This window comes from Homo sapiens, chromosome 16 (assembly GCF_000001405.40).
Source record: "Homo sapiens chromosome 16, GRCh38.p14 Primary Assembly".
Taxonomy (NCBI): Eukaryota; Metazoa; Chordata; class Mammalia; order Primates; family Hominidae; genus Homo; species Homo sapiens.
In genome coordinates this window covers 89,657,711-89,678,938 of record NC_000016.10, presented here as the reverse complement: position 1 = coordinate 89,678,938, position 21,228 = coordinate 89,657,711, and the positions used below count along the sequence as shown (strand labels likewise).

Here is a 21,228-nt window from a genome sequence, read left to right as displayed (position 1 = left end):
AAAAATAAGGCCATAAGGCTGGGTGCGGTGGCTCACACCTGTAATCTCAGCACTTTGGGAGGCCGAGGCAGGTCGATCACCTGAGGTCAGGAGTTCGAGACCAGCCTGGCCAACATGGAGAAACCACGTATCTACCAAAAATACAAAAATTAGCCAGGCATGGTTGTGGGCGCCTGTAATCTCAGCTACTTGGGAGCCTGAGCCAGAAGAATTGCTTGAACCTAGGAGGCAGAGGTTGCAGTGAGCTGAGATCACACCACTGTACTCCAACTTAGGCAACAAGAGCGAAACTCTGCCTCAAAAACAAAAAAGATAATTTCCATAAACATTTTTATAACTTTTTTTTTTTAATTAAAGAGTGGGTTAATGCTCCAAGAAAGCCTTGTTAATCTGACATAGGCCAAAATTGCACCACTGTACTCCAGCCCAGACAACAAAGCGAGACTCCATCTTAAAAAAAAAAAAAAAAAGCTTTTTACAAACTTTATCAAAACTTACACAAACCATTTATGATATACTTGGACTTCCTGTTTTATTCTGAACATCCCTCTTTCCAAAATAACTAGCCATTTTAGAACAAAAATTTACCACACAAGATTCTTTCTCATATGAAATTATTTTCCTTTTAACTTTTCATACTAAAAATATCTCCTTATAACTATCTTTACATCTGTAATTATTTATTTGTTTATTTAAAATAAATTTTTTTTTGAGATGGTGTCTCACTCTGTTGCCCAGGCTGGAGTGCAGTGGCATAGTCTCGGCTCACTGCAAGCTCCGCCTCCCAGATTCATGCCATTCTCACGCCTCAGCCTACTATAAAAATATTTTTTTTAAATTAGCCAGACTGGGCGGATCACAAGGTCAGGAGATCAAGACCATCCTGGCTAACACGGTGAAACCCCATCTCTATTAAAAATACAAAAAATTAGCCAGGCGTGGTGGCAGGTGCCTGTAGTCCCAGCTACTCAGGAGGCTGAGGCAGGAGAATGGCATGAACCCGGGAGGCGGAGCTTGCAGTGAGCCGAGATAGCACCACTGCACTCCAGCCTGGGAGACAGAGCGAGACTCTGTCTCAAAAAAAAAAAAAAAAAAAATTAGCCAGGCGTGGTTGTGGGCACCTATAATCCCAGCTACTTGGGAGGCTGAGGTGGGAGAATAGCTTGAACCTGGGAGGCGGAGACTGCGGTGAGCCAAGATCACGCCATTGCGTTCGAGCTTGGGTGACAGAGTGAACTCTTCTCAAAAAAAAAAAAGAAAAAGGAAAGAAAACTGTGATAGTCTTCATTTAAAGTTATTTCTCTGTTAACCATTTTCTTTTTTTTTTTTTTTCTGAGATGGAGTTTTCTTTTGATCTTTTTGCCCAGGTTGGAGTACAATGGTGTGATCTTGGCTCACTGCAACCTCCGCCTCCTGGGTTCAAGTGATTCTGCTGCCTCAGCCTCCCAAGTAGCTGGGATTACAGGCACCTGCCACCATGCCCAGCTAATTTTTGTATTTTTAGTAGAGACGGGGTTTTACCATGTTGGCCAGGCTGGTCTTGAATTCCTGATCTGAGGTGATCTGCCCACCTCAGACTCCCAAATTGCTGGGATTACAGACGTGAGCCACCATACCTGGCCTAACCATTTTTATAGCCTGTGAATTTTAGGTGTTTACCTAAGTAAGAACCTTATGGTTAAATAAATGTTCCTCTTTTTTTTTTTGCCAGCAACTCAGGATTTATCTCTTTCCATTAAACAATATTAAATGCCTTATTTATCAAGAAATTAGTCAAACATAATTCCCTTTTGTGTTGCAAGCCTTATAACCCTCATGCCAAATTTTGACAACTTACAGTATCTCGTAATGATAAATATTGAACTCCTTTACCAATAAATCTAAACAATAATGTATGTTGACAATTCTGAAGGCATTTCTATTTTATTTTACCAATAATTTTAAAACTAGCTTATTTTTTAAGGATTTACTTAAGTCACATGAACCTGAAAAAGCATTTGGGCTTAAAGTTTCTATTTTTCTGGCCAGGCATGGTGGCTCACACCTGTAATCCCAGCACTTTGGGAGGCTGAGGCGGGGGGATCACAAGGTCAGGAGATCGAGACCATCCTGGCTAACACGGTGAAACGCCGTCTCTACTAAAAATACAAAAAATTAGCCGGGCGTGGTGGCGGGCTCCTGTAGTCCCAGCTACTCGGGAGGCTGAGGCAGGAGAATGGCGTGAGAACACTGGAGGCGGAGCTTGCAGTGAGCCGAGATCGTGCCCCTGCACTCCAGCCTGGGTGATAGAGCAACATTCTGTCTCCAAAAAAAAAAAAAAAAAAAAAAGTTTATATTTTTCTGATACAGTATTTAAGTGCTTTTTTTTCCTTTAACCCAATTAATTAAAACTCTTTTATATATTTTTGGTAGTGAAACATTGTATACATGACTCATAGATACATAGATGCATTCGACACACAGAAGATGCATAAGACCCCTTCTTTTTTTTCTACTATTTTAAACTTACAATTTCTTTCTTTCGATCTTTTTCTTTTTTTTTTTGAGTTGGAGTCTCACTTTGTCACCCAGGCTGGAGTACAGTGGCACAGTCTCAACTCACTGCAACCTCCACCTCTTGGGTTCAAGAGATTCTCCTGCCTCAGCCTCCTGGGTAGCTGGGATTACAGGCACCTGCCACCACGCCCGGCTAATTTTTGTATTTTTTTTTTTTTAAGATGGAGTTTTGCTCTTGTTGCCCAGGCTGGAGTACAATGGCGCAATCTCAGCTCACTGCAACCTCCGCCTCCCAGGTTCAAGCGATTCTCCTGCCTCAGCCTCCCAAGTAGCTGGGATTACAGGTACGTGCCACCACACCCAGCTAATTTTTGTATTTTTAGTAAAGATGGGGTTTCACCATCTTGGCCAGGCTGGTCTCGAACTCCTGACCTCAAGTGATCTGCCCGCCTTGGCCTCCCAATTTGTTGGGATTACAGGCGTGAACCATTGCGCCCGGCCTAAACTTCCAATTTCTTGATAACCTGTTTCATTGTCTTAGGCAATTTTCAGCTTGATAGCCCTAAATTGACATACCAAAGGAAGAACTCTTAGGTGAAAAATCAGATAGCAAAATTTACATCTCAAAATACAGAGGGAGAGTCTGGGTGTGTTAGAGGGACATTAAAAATGAATGTTACCTGTAATCCCAGAACTTTGGGAGGCCGAGGCAGGCAGATCATGAGGTCAGGAGTTCAAGACCAGCCTGACCAACATAGTGAAACCCTGTCTCTATTAAAAATACAAAAATTAGGCTGGGCGCAGTGGCTCACGCCTGTAATCCCAGCACTTTGGGAGGCCGAGGTGGGCGGATCATGTGGTCAGGAGATTGAGACCATCCTGGCTAACACGGTGAAACCCCATCTCTAATAAAAATACAAAAAATTAGCTGGGCGTGGTGGTGGGCGCCTGTAGTCCCATCTACTGGGGAGGCTGAGGCCGGAGAATGGCGTGAACCCGGGAGGTGGAGCTTGCAGTGAGCAGAGATTGCGCTGCTGCACTCCAGCCTGGGCAACAGAGCAAGACTCTGTCTCAAAAAACAAACAAACAAACAAACAAAAAATTAGCCAGGTGTAGTGGCGGGCACCTGTAATCCCAGCTACTCAGGAGGCTGAGGCAGGAGAACACTTGATCCCTGGAGGCGGAGGTTGCAGCGAGCCGAGATCGCACCACTGCACTCCGGCCTGGGCAACAGAGCAAGACTCTGTCTCAAAAAAAAAAAAAAGAATGCCAAGTCAAAGATAAAATTATAGGCTGTGCATGGTGGGGGACTTCAGTGGGGGCGTACCCAACTTTGAGTAGGGGCTGCCCACTTTGGCTCCCCTCTTCACTGAGAACTGTTCTGTTGCTCAACAAAACGTTGTCCTGCTCACCCTCCGGTTGTCTGCATACCTTCATTTTTCTTGGACATGGGAGAAGCATTTGGGACTTGCTGAATCACAGATTCAAAAAGGGGGTGACGGCCAGGCCTGGTGGCTCACACCTGTAATCCCAGCACTTTGGGAGGCTGACGTGAGCGGATCACAAGGTCAAGAGATCAAGACCATCCTGGCCAACATGGTAAAACCCCATCTCTACTGAAAACACAAAAACTGGCTGGGTGTGGTGGCTCATGCCTGTAATCCTAGCACTTTGGGAGGCTGAGGCGGGTGGATCACCTAAGGTCGGGAGTTCAAGATTAGCCTGACCAACATGGAGAAACCCTGTCTCTACTAAAAATACAAAAAATTAGCCGGGCATGGTGGTGCATGCCTGTAATTCCAGCTACTCAGGAGGCTAAGGCAGGAGAATCGCTTGAACCTGGGAGGTGGAGGTTGCAGTGAGCTGCGATCGTGCCATTGTACTCCAGCCTGGGCAACAAGAGAGAAACTCTGTCTCAAAAAAAAAAAAAAAAAAAAAAAAAAAAATTAGCCAGGTGTGGTGGCAGGCACCTGTACTCCCAGCTACTTGGGAGGCTGAGGTAGGAGAATCGCTTGAACCCAGGAGGCGGAGGTTGCAGTGAGCCGAGACTGTGCCACTGCACTCTGGCCTAGTGACAGAGTGAGACTCTGTCTCAAAAAAAAAAAAAGGGGGGGTGACACTGTAACACACCCCCACTCACCAGACCGCAGGCGGGGGGAACAATCGAGCTGTGACACCCTTGGGGCTCTGCCGTTCCTGGCATCTTTGGGCGTTTTGTGCGCCACCACACTCCTCTTGTCCAGACTCCAGTGCTCAAGGCTGAAGCGGGTTGCGGCGTGCGCATGCGCAGTCCAGCCATGGGCTGAGGGCGGATCCCACGGCCGGGCTAGGTGGGCGGGGTACTCCAGGGCCAACCCTGGAGCCCAGGAGACCCGGGTAGGGGCACCACCGGCCACAGAGGCCTCCAGCTAGAGAAGCAGCACCCCAAAAAGTCCTGTGTCAACTATTTTAGTAAAAAAAAATCAGGTAACACAATACAATAGCAAGCAATTTAAGATCTGAGAGGAACGTGTCTGTTTCCACTCTTGGAGTTCCATAAGAAAAACAGAAGTTTCTCCCCAAAAAGGAGTCTGGTGCCTTCTTTTCTACACAGGGGTCTGTATATGTGTATGTGGCATACGGACTTAATTAAGCTACTATGTTGGAATATATCCGATATTAGCTTTTAGTTAAGTTTACTTTTGACCATTAAGCCCTTTTAAAAATCCTCTTGGCTGGGCGTAGTGGCTCACGCCTGTAATCCCAGCAGTTTGGGAGGCCAAGGAGGGTGGATCACAAGATCAGGAGTTCATGACCAGCCTGGTCAAGGTGGTGAAACCCCGTCTCTACTAAAAATGCAAAAATTAGCCAGGTGCGGTGGCAAGTGCCTGTAATCCCAGCTACTTGGGAGGCTGAGGCAGGAGAATGGCTGAACCTGGGCGGCAGAGGTTGCAGTGAGCTGGGATCGCGCCACTGCACTCCAGCCTGGGCGACAGAGCGAGACTCCGTCTCAAAAAAAAAGAAAATCCTTTTAAATCTTTAAATCTCACTACCTTATTTCAGCCGGGACAAACTGCTGATATTTCAAAAGTAACACAAATTTCAAACCAGAAAGGATGTAGGAACCAAACCCGGGCTGTCCTGGTGGAAAAATGGCGGACTCTACCTACCGAACTGCAGCGTGAGGTGACGGCACTTACTCTTCGAGTGTGGCTTGGCTGGAAAAACGTGGCCTCGTTATGCAAATAAAGCCCATCACGTGGTCAAAATCTTTTTTCCCTTTTTCTGGCTTTTTTTCCTTTTTCCCAGCTGTGGGAATTCAGCTAATTCAGAGGCTTGTTTCCCACAACTTGGAAGTTTGCTTCAGATTTGACCAAGTCTAACAGAATTCGTCAAATCCAACGGGAAAAAGACTGAAACAGCAAAAATAGCAAACACAGAAACAAACAAAAAGCAGTTAAGCAAAACAAACAATCCCACAATTTATACACTTACTGAGCATGCTAATAGTAAGAAGTTAAGACCAGCCAGTCGTTAATGTTAGCTTTAGTCATTAAGGAGAACTTCCAAGACAGAACCCCAATTCAGCCACTTACCTAGGAATGGGGCCCAGGCTTTAGACTGCTCTCCCCCATCGTGGAATCAGGAAAAACTCGAGTTGTTTCCGAGCTGAAACTCCAGGGAAGTCTCCTGCTCCCCATCATCACGGAAGCAGGAAAACTCGCCTTCTTTGTTGGAAGCAAGTAAAACACCGGAAAAGGAAAAGGCATTGTGCGCAAAATAAACTTTCGACCTCAACCAAGTTTCGGGAGATCAGAGATTCTCTGGAGGGTGGTAGGGCTCCCGGATCTCAGCAAATTGTCCTACTGTCCTGAGCAATAAAGAAGGCCCAAACTGGTCCTAAGCACCAGGAGGAAACCTGCCAAAGGGCAGGGCCACCTCCACTCTGAGTCCCTGCATGGTGGTCAATTTGTAAGCCAACAAGTATCTGAGACAGGTCTCAGCCACCTTAGAGGTTTATTAGGCCAAGGTTAAGGATGTGCGCGTGAGAGCCAACTCTGTACCTTCCTCCAAAGATGATGTTGAGGGCTTCAGTATTTCAAGGGGAGGAGCTGGAGGGGAAGGAGGGCGGGCGTGGACACATCCTTGAATCCACAAGACAAAAGAAGTCAATGATGTATTTGTCTCGTGCTCAGTAAATTGGCACTTCACCCACTTTTTGATGGAGTGGGTGAAGGATATGAACAGACACTTCTCAAAGGAAGACATTTATGCAGCCTACAGACACATGAAAAAATGCTCATCATCACTGGCCATCAGAGAAATGCAAATCAAAACCACAATGAGATACCATCTCACACCAGTTAGAATGGCGATCATTAAAAAGTCAGGAAACAGGTGCTGGAGAGGATGGGGAGAAATAGGAACACTTTTACACTGTTGGTGGGACTGTAAACTAGTTCAACCACTGTGGAAGACAGTGTGGCGATTCCTCAGGGATCTAGAACTAGAAATACCATTTGACTCAGCCATCCCATTACTGGGTATATACCCAAAGGATTATAAATCATGCTGCTATAAAGACACATGCACACCTATGTTTAATGCGGCACTATTCACAATAGCAAAGACTTAGAACCAACCCAAATGCCCATCAGTGATAGACTGGATTAAGCAAATGTGGCACATATACACCATGGAATACTATGCAGCCATAAAAAAGGATGAGTTCATGTCCTTTGCAGGGACATGGGTGAAGCTGGAAACCATCATTCTCAGCAAACTATCGCAAGTAAAATAAACCAAACACCGCATGTTCTCACTCATAGGTGGGAACTGAACAATGAGAACACTTGGACACAGGAAGGGGAAAATCACACACTGGGGCCTGTCGTGGGGTAGGGGGGAGGGGGGAGGGAAAGCATTAGGAGAAATACCTAATGTAAATGACGAGTTAATGGGTGCAGCACACCAACATGGCGTATGTATGCATATGTAACAAACCTGCACGTTGTGCACATGTACCCTAAAACTTAAAGTATAATAATAAAAAAAAAATTTGGCACTTCACAGAAGGTGAACAGAGTAGCTACCTATGGAGAAACTTTAACTTTTTATTGGTAGCTCTCTGCTTAGGAACAAAAAGGAAGCAGTTTCTTGGGTGACTCATCTTTCAGCTTTTTTTTTTTTTCTTTTGGCAGAGTGAAATTAGGGCCCCAAGTTTTGATTGGCCTTTCACAATTCCTAAGGCTCTGCGTATGTGTGTATATACTACATAGGCCTGTATGGATTAGAAATTGTACGTGTGTGGCAGGGAGCAGGCTCCCTCCCGCTGCCACCTCAGAAGTCTGTGTCCAAGACTCTGGTGGACACCCCTGGCTCCACTGGCCACTGAAGCAAGCCAATGGCAGATCACATGGAAAGCCTGCTGGCCAGACTAGAAACTAACAAAGCTAACACACTGTCACTAAATGCATCAGGCTTCCACACAGGGCAGGGCATTCTCAACACAGGGGGAAAGTCTAGCCTGAGCTGAGGGTTGCTGGAGAGGAGCAGTCACAGGAGATAACTTGTCTCGTGCCATCGTGTTCAGGTCCCTTCCGTGGCCTTCCACAATCAGGAGCCCTCATCTGTGGGCCAGAAAGACAGGACAGCGCTGGCAAGGCCACTTCCAAAGTCTCAGTGCCATGGCTGTCCCATGTGCCCAGCACACATTCCACTTTCTTCTTTGGGGCCTTTTCATAAGCTGACTCAGATTACACTCAAGCTAGGAGCCCTGGGGCCCCGTTCAGTGACTCTGGGCCTCTTTGTTCTGGAACATTACATCTTAACGTTTAGCTCTTAGAATCTGACCTTTTCCTCAAGTTTGGGAGGCATCTTATTCACTATAATTTCCAAGTATTCACATTGTCTCCTTCTGAAACGAAGGGAAGTGTTTTAACTGTGCACCACAAATCACAATGTAAGATGCCACCTGCTGTCCATCACTCTGCAGAGCCAGCCACTTCCAACATGAACATACTAATTTATTCATTTATCAATACCACAAAGCTCGCTCTCTGAGCCAGTCACTCTTGCCTCGACCGAGCTGCTAGCAGCTCTGGGGAAGGCAGGACCAAATGGCAATGGAGAACGGGCTGCGGCTTCTCACAGGGTGGGGCGGGCCTGGTGCACCCTCCCCGAGAGCACTGGAGAAGGGGGTGCAGTTTCTCACAGGGTGGGCAGGCCTGGTGCACCCTCCCCCAGAGCACTGGAGAAGGGGGCTGCAGTTTCTCAAGGCGGGGGCAGGCCTGGTGCACCCTCCCTGAGAGCACGGGAGAAGGGGGCCACGGCTTCTCACAGGGTGGGGCGGGCCTGGTGTACCCTCCCCGAAAGCACTGGAGAAGGGGGCCACGGCTTCTCACAGGGTGGGGTGGCCCTGGTGCACCCTCCCCAAAAGCACTGGAGAAGGGGCCATGGCTTCTCACAGGGTGGGGCGGGCTGGAGAGCACTGGAGAAGGGGGCGGCGGCTTCTTACAGCGTGGGGCAGCCCTGGTGCACCCTCCCCGAGAGCACTGGAGAAGGGGGCGGTGGCTTCTCACAGGGTGGGGCAACCCTGGTGTACCCTCCCCGAGAGCATTGGAGAAGGGGGCTGCAGGTTCTCACAGGGTGGGGTGGGCCTGGTGCACCCTCCCCGAGAGCACTGGAGAAGGGGACTGCAGTTTCTCACGGCGGGGGCAGGCCTGGTGCACCCTCCCTGAGAGCACTGGAGAAGGGGGCCACGGCTTCTCACAAGGTGGGGCGGGCCTGGTGCACCCTCCCCGAAAGCACTGGAGAAGGGGGCTGCAGTTTCTCACAGGGTGGGGTGGGCCTGGTGCAACCTCCCCGAGAGCACTGGAGAAGGGGCCTCGGCTTCTCACAGGGTGAGGCGGCTGTTCCCGAGACGCCTATCGCAGGGAGTAGCGAGTGCCATGCAAAGGTGCTTGTTTATTCTTTGAGATGTGAATTATAGGCGTCTGCTGTACTGGGGTTCCTGTGCCGCCGGTAGGGGCCCCAGTCCTCCGGCTCCCGAATGGTTCTCTGCTGGTCACTCCCGCTGGAACTGCAACTGACTAGCGTCTCATTCGACGCTCGCGTGATGATGATCTGTGGAACGACCACTTTCTTCCTGCTGGACTTTTGCTTTACATCAGGTTTCTCTAGAGGAAAAAACATCCAGGCATTTAGTAGATGTGTGGAAAGCTCCTTCCACGATGCACACACCTCCTGCCATTGGTCAGAGTAAAGGAATTAAGATGTATGGTTAGCAGAAAAAATGGGTGAGTCCAAAAGTGATCAAAACTGTCCATGAACATTACAGGGCTTAAGGGATGTGCAACTCAGCCATGAAGGTTGCTGATGCTGGACACCCTTTTTCAGGGAAGAAAACAGGAGAAACACTTCCACTATCCGTGGCAGGATGGTGTCAGGGCGACCAGCAAAGGAAGGAGGGAGGGCACACGTCCAGGCAGGAACCGCCTCAGAGCTCAAGGTTCAGAGACATCATTTCCACTCCAAAGGTCTCTAATTCTGCTAAAGCCCTCTGTACAGAACTTCATCCATTAGAATGTTCTAGAAATGGACATGTCTGATGTTGCTCACATTTTCTTAAACCTGTTAAGGTTACAAGGAACGCCTGAGACCTGTGAAACTGCTGAGCCTGCCGAGCGTTGCCACGTACAAAGCAAAAGTGCTCCTTCACCGGCTGCTCTCCTGGCTGGCCGGCCGCCCCTTCCTGGAGTGCCACTGCTACAAGCTCGGGCACAGCCGCCCACCCCCTTCGTGGAGTGCCACTGCTACGAGCTCAGACACAGCCGCCCGCCCCCTTCCTGGAGTGCCACTGCTACGAGCTCGGGCACAGCCGCCCGCCCCCTTCCTGGAGTGCCACTGCTACGAGCTAGGGCACAGCTGTTCAGGCTTCTGGGAGAGCAGGATGGAGCTGGCTCTCTCTGCACACATATGTGTGGTCAGGGTTAGAAGACTCAGTCACCTTTTTACAGAAACGTAACTACAGTGGTCATGTTGTTTTACAGCTTTGTGGGGACACTTGGTAGCTCACGAACCTGGATGCGAGGTAGGATGGACTGCTGGCAATGGCAGTGCTGGTTTATTATTAATCTTCTTCTTAGTTTTTGAGACGGAGTCTCGCTCTGTCACCCAGGCTGGAGTGCAGTGGTGTGATCTCGGCTCACTGCAACCTCCACCTCCTGAGTTCAAGTGATTCTCCTGCCTCAGCCTCCTGAGCAACTGGGACTACAGGCTCCTGCCACCACACCTGGGGAATTTTTGTATTATTAGTAGAGACAGGGTTTCTCCATGTTGGCCAGGCTGGTCTTGAACTCCCGACCTCAGGTGATCTACCTGCCTTGGCCTCCCAAAGTGCTGGGATTACAGGCGTGAGCCAATGCGCCCGGCCAACGGTGCTGGCTTTTATCGCGTGCCTGTTCTGAGCCCTAGAACAGTGAATAATGACACACAGCAGCTTCTGCTATAGGTCTCTGACAACCCATATTTCAGACAAAACTGAGGTACAGACAAGCCAAGCCATCTGCCCAAGGCTAGTCAAACAGGGGAGACACAGAGGCCAACTCGACTGCCCAAGGCTAACCAGATGGGGGAGGCAGAGAGGCCAAGTCGCCTGCCTAAGGCTAGTCAGACGGGGTATTCAGGCCTTGGCCTCCCCCTCTGCCTGCAGTGCTGCGTTACATAGCCTCATCTGTGTCAGCTGCCGAATGACCCACAGCTGCACTAAGCACTGAGCGATATCCCTTTTTCTTTTTGAGACAGGATCTTGAAGGTCTGTGGCCCAGGCTGAAATGCTGTGGCATGATCATGGCTCACTGAAGCCTCAACTTCCTGGGCTCAAATGATCCTCCCACTTCAGCCTTCCAAGTAGCTGGGACCACCAGCACGCACCACTGTGGGCGGCAAGTCACCCAGGTGCCGAGGCAAGAGACCGAGGGCACGAGCTGTTCCAGTGTAATAAAATATATAAAATAAGAATAGTTATACTAGATCTAGATCACAGACATGATTATATATGAATATCATTAATTAATTTGTAGCAATTACTCTTTATTCCAATATTATAATAATCCTCGCTCTACAATCATAACCTAGGAAAAACCAGGTCATACAGAGACAGGAGCTGGGGGGACATGGTGAGAAGTGACCAGAAGACAAGAGTGTGAGCCTTTTGTTATGCCCAGACAGGGCCACCAGAGGGCTCCTTGGTCTAGTGGTAACGCCAGCGTCTGGTAGGACGCCCGTTGCCAAGCAGACCATGGTCTAGCAGTAGCGTCAGTGTCAAGGAAAAACACCCACTACTTAGCAGACCAGGAAAGGGAGTCTCCCTTTCCCCAGGGGAGTTTAGAGAAAACTCTGCTCCTCCACCTCTTGTGGAGGGCCTGACATCAGTCAGGCTTGCCCGCAGTTATCCAGAGGCCTAATCGTCTCCCTGTGATGCTGTGCTTCAGTGGTCACGCTCCTAGTCCACCTTCATGTTCCATCCTGTACACCTGGCTCTGCCTTTTAGATAGCAGTAGCAAATTAGTGAAAGTACTAAAAGTCTCTGATATGCTGAAATAACGGCGTAAGCTGTCTCTCTGTCTCCTCTCTCTCTGCCTTGGCTGCCAGGCAGGGAAGGGCCCCCTGTCCAGTGGACACATGACCCACATGACCTCACCTATCATTGGAGATGGCTCACACTCCTAACCCTGCCCCTTTGTCTTGTATCCAATAAATATCAGTGCAGCCTGGCATTTGGGGCCACTACCGGTCTCCACGGCTTGGTGGTAGTGGTCCCCCGGGCCCAGCTGTCTTTTATCTCTTTGCCTTGTGTCTTTATTTCTACGCTCTCTCATCTCCGCACATGGGGAGAAAACCCACCGACCCTGTGGGGCTGGACCCTACACACCACCACACCCACCTAATTTTGAAATTTTTTGTAGAGACACGGTTTTGCCATGTTGCCCAGGCTGGTCTCGAACTCTCAGGCTCAAGTTATTCTCCCACTTCACCCTCCCAAAGCGCTGGGATTACAGCAGCCATGAACCACTGTGCCGGCCATTTTCTTCCATTTTTAGAGAAGGGTCTCACTCTGTAGCCCAGGAAGGAGCGCAGTGGCTATTCGTGGATGTGATCATAGCAAACTACAGTCCTAACCTCCCAGGCCCAAGTGATCCTCGGACCTCACTGAGTAGCTGGAACCACAGATCCCACCTATGGGACCATATATTCCCACATCACCATATCTGGCTTTTTTTTACTCTAACCTACTTGAGTATCAGAGGGCCCGACCCCCTCATGCCTCTGGTTTTCCAGATGTTTCCTACTGCTTTCATTTTTATTCATTTATTTATTTTGAGATGGATTCTCACTCTTGTCGCCCAGGCTGGAGTGCAGTGGCACAATTTTGGCTCACTACAACCTCTACCTCCCAGGTTCAAGTGATTCTCCTGCCCCAGCCTCCCCAAGTAGCTGGCACTACAGGCACCCATCACCACGCCTAGCTAATTTTTGTATTTTTAGTAGAGATGGGCTTTCATCATGTTGGCCAGGCTGGTCTTGAACTCCTGACCTCAAGTGATCCACCTGCCTCGGCCTCCAAAGTGCCGGGATTACAGGCGTGAATCACTACACTTGGCCTCATTTTTATTCTTTAGATGAACCTTTGAATAATCTGCTCATATTCCCAAAAGATCTTTTGTGTTTTGACTTGGTGTTGACTGATTTTACAGAAGTTAACGTATTTACACTATTGAAATTTTCTAGTCTAAAACAAGACTTATTTCATCTTCCTCAAAGTATAGTTTCTTCATTTAGAAATATTAGGCCAGACGCAGTGGCTCACGCCTGTAATCCCAGCACCTTGGGAGGCCGATGCGGGCGGATCACGAGGTCAGGAAATTAAGACCATTCTGGTTAACATAGTGAAACCCCATCTCTACTTAAAAAAAAAAAAAATACAAAAAATTAGCCAGGCGTGGTGGCAGGCACCTGTAGTCCCAGCTATGCGGGAGGCTGAGACAGGAGAATGGCATGAACCCGGGAGGCGGAGCTTGCAGTGAGCAGAGATGCACCATTGCAGTCCAGCCTGGGTGGCGACAGAGCAAGACTCCATCTCAAAAAAAAAAAGAAATATTAATCTTGGGCCAGGTGCGGTGGCTCACGCCTGTAATCCCAGCACCTTGGGAGGCTGAAGCAGGCAGATTGCTTGGCCTCTGGAGTTCGAGACCAGCCTGGGCAACATGACAAAACCGCATCTCTACAAAAACTACAAAAAATAGCTGGGGGTGGTGGCGTGCACTGTGGCCCCAGCTACTCAGGGAGCTGAGGTGGGAGAATCGTTTGAGCCCAGAACGTCAAGAGTGCAATGAGCCAAGATGGTGCCACTGCACTCCAGCCTGGGTGAGACCATCTCAGAAACAAAACAGAAAGAATAAATGTGACTCTTCTCAAGGTTCTTGGTACATATTGTGTGTACTTCTATTGCTGCACAACAAATCACCACCAACTTCAGGGCTGAAACCAGCACATCCACTTATCATCTTACTGCATTCGTCGTCAGGGGTGCAGGTGCAGCGTGGCTGGGACGCAGGCTGAATTCCAGGGGCCGGCTGCACTGCATTCTCATGAGGAGCTGGAGGACCCTCTTCTAAGCCCATTCTGGTTGGAGGCAGAATTTATTCCCGGTTCAAGGAATGAAGTTCCCGTTTTCTCGCTGCCCTAAAAAGCCTCTGACACTTTTACTGTCTGGCTTCCCTGATCAGGTCGGGCCCTAAAGAGCCTCTGACACTTTTACTGTCTGGCTTCCCTGATCAGGTCGGGCCCTAAAGAGCCTCTGACACTTTTACTGTCTGGCTTCCCTGATCAGGTCGGGCCCTAAAGAGCCTCTGACACTTTTACTGTCTGGCTTCCCTGATCAGGTCGGGCCCATCCAGGATCATCTCGCATTTTGATGACGTCAAACTCAATGGATGAGTGAGCTAATCGCAGGAGAGACACACCTCCCTCTTCCTCATTCCACCCACACTCGAGGGGAGGGTTACACATGGCTGTTTCCCAGGGGCAGGGATCGTGTGGGCTGTCTTGAGTCCTGCCACCTTGTTACCAAACCGCCTTCCAGGAAGATGTGTGCCTCCACAGCAACGTGTCCGAGCCCCTGATCCAGAGTCAACTGATATTCTTTGGCCTCTCATAGATGTAAATATTTTTTTGAGCTTATCATTTGTTCTACAATTGTTTATAAGAGTTTGGGGAGAGGTTTAACATTTTAACGCAGTCAAATTCTTCAATATGTGTACTGTCTTTCCTTGCTAGGAAGCATAAATAGGGTCTTACTCTGTCGCCGGGGCTGGAGGGCAGTGGCACGATCTTGGCTCACTGCAGCCCCAACCTCATGGGGTCAAGGGATCCTCCTATCTCAGGCCCCTGATTAGTTGGGGCTACAGGCACACTCCACTACACCCAGCTAATTCTTGTCTTTTTTGTAAAAATCAGGTTTCACCATGTTGCCCAGGCTGGTCTTGAACTTCTGGGCTCAAGTGATCTGCCTGCCTAGGCTTCCCAAAGTTCTGAAATTACAGGCGTGAGCCACTGTGCTTGGCTCCCAAAGCGAACGTTTTATATAACTATAGTACCATTATCGACACGAGGAAATGGACTCCGGTACTATGAGTGTATGTACAGCTACGCCATTTAATCAATCACCACCAAAACCAACAATCCCATCTTCCTCCTGCTGCCCTTCAGACACACCCACTCCCTACCCCAACCCCAAAGCCCTGCCCTTCACAGACCCCCTCACTCCCTACCCCAACGCCAAGGCCCTAGCAATCAACAATCTGTCCTCCCTGTCTATAATTTTGTCATTCAGAGAATGTTACAGAAATGGAATCACGGCCGGGTATGGTGGCTCACGCCTGTAATCCTAGCATTTCAGGAGGCCGAGGCAAGCGGATCACCTGAGATCGGGAGTTTGAGGCAAGCGGATCACCTGAGGTCGGGAGTTTGAGACCAGCCTGACCAACATGGAGAAACCCCATCGCTACTAAAAATACAAAGATTAGCTGGGCATGGTGGCGCATGCCTGTAGTCCCAGCTACTCCGGAGGCCGAGGTAGAATTGCTTGAACCCGGGAGACCAAGGTTGCAGTGAGCCAAGATCGTGCCATTTGCACTCCAGCCTAAAAAAAAAAAAAAAAGAAATGGAATCATACAGCATGTGACCTTCTGGGATTGGCTTTTTTCACTCAGCATGGTATTTTTTAATAGCCAATAGAAGTGTTCCATTTCTCTTCTTTTTCAAAATTTTCTTGCAATTAAGTATACTCTACCTTCATGAAAATGTTACAGGCCGGGCGTGGTGGCTCACACCTGTAACACTGGCACTTTGGGAGGCTGAGGCGGGTGGTTCACAAAGTCAGGAGTTTGAGACCAGCCTGACCAACATGGTGAAACCCCGTCTCTACTAAAAATACAAAAATTACCCAGGCATGGTGGCGCACACCTGTAGTCTCAGCTACTCGGGAGGCTGAGGCAGAAGAATTGCTTGAACCCGGGAGGCGGAAGTCACAATGAGCCAAGATTGTGCCACTGCACTCCAGCCTGGGCAACAGAGCAAGACTCCATCTCAAAACAAACAAACAACAAAACGTCACAAAAGTGTTCAAACAGGCTGGGCGTGGTGGCTCACGCCTGTGATCCCAGCGCTCTGGGAGGCCAGGTGCGGTGGCTCACGCCTGTGATCTCAGCACTTTGGGAGGCCGAGGCGGGTGGATCAGCTGAAGCCAGGAGTTTGAGGCCAGCCTAGCCAACGTGGCGAAACCTCATCTCTACTAAAAATACAAAAAAAATTAGCTGGGCGTCATGGCGGGCGCCTGTAATCCCAGCTACTTGGGAGGCTGAGGCAGGAGAATCACTTGAACTTGGGAGGCGGAGGCTACAGTGAGTTGAGACCCGAGATCATGCCATTGCACTCCAGCCTGGGCAACAAGAAGGAAACTCCATTTCAAAAAAAAAAAAAAGTGTTCAAACACACAAGAAAATAGAATAGTGAATGAGCACCTGCACCTATAGAGCACTCAGCTTCAATCAGTATTTTGTTATCTTGTTCTTTCTTCGTTTTTTTCCTGAGTATCTTTTTTTTTTTTGAGATGGAGTCTCACTCCATTGCCCAGGCTGGAGTGCAGTGGGATGATCGTGGCTCACTGCAACCTCTGCTTCCTGGGTTCCAGCTATTCTCTTGCTTCAGCCTCCAAAGTAGTTGGAATTACAGGTGTGCACCACCACACCCAGCTAATTTTTTTGTATTTTTTGTAGAGACAGGGTTTCACCATGTTGGCCATGCTGGTCTCGAACTCCTGACCTCAAGTGATCCACCCGTCTCGGCCTCCCAAAGTGCTGGGATGACAGCATGAGCCACCATGCCTGGCATTCTGAGTATCTTTAAGGAATTTCAGACATATGATTTTACCCATAAATGTTGCAGTGTATTTATTAGATAGGGATTGTGTTTTAGCGTAACTATAATAGCATTCCCACATCTAAGAAAATTAACACGGACTCATCCTCAAATACCCAATCTGACTGTCTCAGGAGTGACGGAGCCCAGGTCTGAGAAAATTAACACTGACTCATCCTCAGATACCCCATCTGACTGTCTCAGGCGTGACTGAGCCCAGGTCTAGGTCGCTCAGATTTCCTTCTAACATCCCCTCCTTTTTTTTCAAGTTCTTTATTTGTGGTAGAATTTCCAACATTGTGGAATAAGGTGACTGTAAATCTGTGATGTTAGTTCTCTATAATGTTTGTATGTTTGTGAATTTTGTAATGCAAAAATTTAAGCATATACAGAAGTAGTAGGGGTAACAGTATAATACATCTATCTGTATTAGTCCGTTTTCATGCTGCTAATAAAGACATACCAGAGACTGAATAATTTACACAGGAAGAAGGTTTAATGGACTTACAGTTCCACATGGCTGGGGACGCCTCACAATCACGGCGGAAGGTAGGGAGGAGCGAGTCACATCTTACATGGATGGCAGCAGGCAGAGAGAGAGCTTATGCAGGAAACTCCCGTTTTTAAAACCATCGGATCTCGTGACACTCATTCACTATCACGAAAACAGCACAGGAAAGACCTGCCCCCATAATTCAATCACCTCCCACCCAGTTCCTCCCACATGTGGGAATTCAAAATGAGATTTGGGTGAGGACACAGCCAAGCCACATCAATATCCTAACAGCTGCCACAGTGATTAACTTATGGCCAAACTTTCTCCCCATCATGGCCCTTCTGTTCTTCTCACTACTGCTTCATAGTAACTTACCCCAAACCTCAGCAGTTTAAAACGATTTTCTTTTCTCTGGATTTTATGGGTTCAGGACACGTTTGGCAGGACAGGTATCACGTGTGGTTGTCCAGGCAGTTGGAGGCATGTGAAGACTCACTGAGACGTACAGGGAAGCTCTTGGGGCTGGACACTGATGCTGGCTCCCCCTGAGGTGCATGCCCCAAGCTGAGAAGACTCAAGGTTCCAGCCAGAGCCTGGAATCACTAAAGGCTTGTTTGCTCACAGGTCTGGCTCCTGGGCTGGAAGGGCTTAGGGACCAGGACTACTAAACTGCAGTGCTTCCCATGTTCAGATTCAGGTCGAAAACCATTTCCATCACCCTCCAAAGTCCTCTTGTGCTCAGCTGTGGCCGGCTCCCATTTCTGCCCAGCAACCACTCATCTGCTTCTCTCTGTAAATGTGCCTTTTCTGGACATTCCATGGAAAGGGAACTGCAACATGAGTGGTCTTTCCTCTGGCTTGTCTCACTCAGTGTCCCACCTTTGGGACTCCTTCACGGTGTGGCAAGGGAGTCAGCAGCCTGCTCCTCACTGTCGCTCAGCCCGTCACTGCATGGAGAGCGTGCACACTTCATTTTATCTGCTGAAACTCTGTTCTCACTCTTGCTCTGCTGTTTTCCCTTCATGTCCACCTTCCTCCCCCACCCTCTGGTGTGACAGACACTGCTGGGGCCCTTCCAACAGGCGGTCCTCCTTCCCCCACTTCCGTTACTGGCAGAGGTCCTGCCCACTCCCATGCTTCACAGCTCCCTCCAGCCCCTGGTGAATTTGCACCATTGAATGAGTCCTGCAGAGGCTGGGCAGGCGAAGCCTTCCTGGGAAAGGTTTCCTTGCTAATATGAAGCAAGGAGCAATGCCTTTGCAGTAGATGCAGTCCTGCCTGCGTGTGGGGGGCTGTACACTCATCGGGGGCTGTGGACACTGAGAGTGGTCAAGAAGAGACACGCAAAGTCTTTGATGTCACTGTTGTGCTAACAAGCCAACCTGGAAGCTCCACCTCTGACCCTTCATTCGTGAGACATTAAATCCCTGTGTTAAAGCTGCGTTTAGTGAGCTTTTCTGTAACTTTCAGCTAAAAGCACCGTGACAGACAGGTAGCATTTTCCAAACTGCCACCCAAGGGTGATGCTATTCCTGCAGGGTTCCATCCTCCGGTGGGGGGTTGCGCCCTCCTGTGAGGGGTTCCACCCTCCAGTGGGAGGTTCCAAAGTTGGGAATTCAAATCCAAGTCTTTCTTCCAAGTCCAAGGCCCAGAGCCTCCTACTTTCAGCCCTTGATCCTACAAGCGTGTCAGTGTGAAGCAGTCCAGGCCCAGCTCCTCTGCCTAGCAGGCCAGTCATCCCCCTGACATTCTTTCTTGTCTGACCCGAGTGGTTCTCTCCTTATTATTTTTTTTTTTTTCTGAGACAGAGTCTCACTCTGTAGCCCAGGCTGGAGTGCAGTGGTGCGATCTCGCTCACCACTACTTCTGCCTCCCGGGTCCCGGTTCAAGGTTCGAGCAATTCTCCTGCCTCAGCCTCCTGAGTAGCTGGGATTACAGGCACATGCCACCACGCCCAGCTAATTTTTGTATTTTTAGTAGAGACAGGGTTTCACCACGTTGGCCAGGCTGGTCTTGAACTCCTGACCTTAAGTGATCCACACGCCTCGGCCTCCCAAAGTGCTGGGATTACAGGCGTGAGCCACTGCGCCCAGCCGAGTGGTTCATTCTTGTGATGAAACTTAAAACACCTCCTCCTGGCACAGGCCCCCAATCTCCTCGGACGGCAGGCTCTGCGGGTTCTCCCTGCCTGACCCTTCTGCAATTCCTACTGCAAGGCCTTGCTGGCTCCCACTGGGCCACAGCAATGGGTCTCTGACCGGGCCACCTCCCCTGCGAACTGGCTTCCCCTGTTGGTAGGCACAGACCTCATCATGCCGCCCTTGTTTTTTATTTTTAAATATTTATTTTTTGTAGAGACAGGGTCTCACTATGTTGCCCAAGCTGGTCTTGAACTCCTGGGCTCAAAAGATCCTCCTGCCTCGGCCAAATAACTGGGAGGACAGGTGTGAACTACCGCCCCAGGCAGCACCTCCGTTGTTTAAAATATTTAACGCTTCCAGCTCCACGTGGTAAAACTGATGGAAAACTTTGTATTCTAGCTTCTTCCTACTTTTGGGGCCTCATCTTCCCCACACACACCCAAAGGTCTGGCCACACTAGGCTGTTATAAAAGACACCTTTGTCGCACCCAGGTTCTACTCCTCGGTCACCCTCCGCAATGTACTTATCCCCACAGCCCTCGGAGAGCTACAGTCCAGCCTGGGACGGCCTCCCAATGCTCTGTTCCAGTGTGCGGAGGCTCAGGGATTCTCAGTGGCACCAAGATACCCAGCCCTCGAGGAGAACCTCAGGTGAGACACACGCACACTGCCCCAGCCCCTCGACCACCTGGTACGCACTTATCACTCGGGAACTGACCTACATTTTCATTAAACTTATGTTTTCAACTAAGATTTCTGGATATTTACCTCCTACATAAAGTTCCCAAAACAAACCAGTTTCATCTTTACGGCGCGTGCCTGCTACTAGTGTCCATCCGGTAGGGTCTTACAGTAGGCTCCTCACCCCAGCCCCAGATCCTCCAAGCCACTGACCTCGCTTCGCTCCCTCCCGCCGTCTCCTACCTTCCAGCGAAGCTGCCGGCGGCGGGTGCTTGGCTGTCCCGGCCCCCGGGTGGAGGCTGTCCACAGGCTTCTCCGACTCCCTGTCTGCCTGCCTGGCTTCCTGGGAATGCTTCTCCATCAACTTCTCCTTAGATTTTGGAACTGAATAGGTGGATCCCTTCTTTTGCTCCTCACCTGAAATATATGGATCATCCGTTAGACCCGGGACTTACCGAATGCAGGGCAGTGGGTCCCATCGTCTTCAGTCGCCTGCGTGGGTCCAGAATAAGCTGGCTTCAAGTCTCGAGTCTCCGCGTTTCCGTAACCGCCTCAGGCGGGAAACGCGCCGTCCGTGGCGGACTCGGCGGCAGGAACGGTTCGCACCGGGCCGAGCCTGGCGCCTGCGCTCACACCGCCCCGCCCAGCCCAGCCCCGCCCTGGGCCCGCGCCCAGGGGCGGAGACGCGGGGAGCCCAGCGCCTGCGCCTCCTTTACCTTTCCTGGGTTTCTCTTTGCTTTTGGAAAGGCCCATGGGTGAGCCCACCGCCCCCTCCGACGCAAGCCCGGGTCCCCACACCTCCGCGGCCGCGGAGCCGGGAGCGACTCACAAAAGGTCCTCGCGCCAGCGGCGTGCGTCACCATGGCGACCGCGCGCCGCGCAGCCGCGCCCCGCCCCTCTGGCGGGACCGGCCACCATCCTCTCGCGAGAGCATCCCGTGCGACCGGAAGTGGG

General features: G+C 49.8%; 1 protein-coding gene across 9 annotated transcripts, besides 3 other annotated features; it reads right to left on the bottom strand.

Annotated features, from left to right (window-relative positions):
- Window positions 331-531: a silencer, noted in NCBI's record as "peak2666 fragment used in MPRA reporter construct". NCBI's record gives its function as "represses an SCP1 promoter by STARR-seq MPRAs in K562 erythroleukemia cells {active_cell/tissue: K562}" and the evidence as "EXISTENCE:reporter gene assay evidence [ECO:0000049][PMID:32103011]".
- Window positions 8,481-21,163, bottom strand: SPATA33 (spermatogenesis associated 33). Of its 9 annotated transcripts, none has more exons than NM_153025.3 (3): window positions 21,104-21,163; window positions 20,518-20,691; window positions 8,481-9,653 (listed from the first exon to the last, which is right to left on the bottom strand). In NM_153025.3, exons 1-3 carry the CDS (start codon window positions 21,135-21,137, stop codon window positions 9,442-9,444), a joined length of 420 nt encoding a protein of 139 aa, NP_694570.1. In that variant the 5' UTR covers window positions 21,138-21,163; the 3' UTR covers window positions 8,481-9,441. The 9 variants fall into 9 exon arrangements, 7 of the variants coding, with proteins under 7 accessions (NP_694570.1, NP_001374155.1, NP_001258836.1 ...); NM_001387226.1 differs by lacking the exon at window positions 21,104-21,163 and adding an exon at window positions 20,991-21,103 and having other exon boundaries at window positions 20,488-20,691; NM_001271907.2 differs by lacking the exon at window positions 21,104-21,163 and adding an exon at window positions 20,991-21,103.
- Window positions 20,835-21,224: a silencer, noted in NCBI's record as "silent region_7918". NCBI's record gives its function as "represses an Ori minimal core promoter by ATAC-STARR-seq in GM12878 lymphoblastoid cells {active_cell/tissue: GM12878}" and the evidence as "EXISTENCE:reporter gene assay evidence [ECO:0000049][PMID:35858748]".
- Window positions 20,950-21,119: an enhancer, noted in NCBI's record as "experimental_46656 CRE fragment used in MPRA reporter constructs". NCBI's record gives its function as "activates a minimal promoter by MPRAs in K562 erythroleukemia cells, with activity observed for both the introgressed and non-introgressed 16:89724313 variant alleles {active_cell/tissue: K562}" and the evidence as "EXISTENCE:reporter gene assay evidence [ECO:0000049][PMID:34662402]".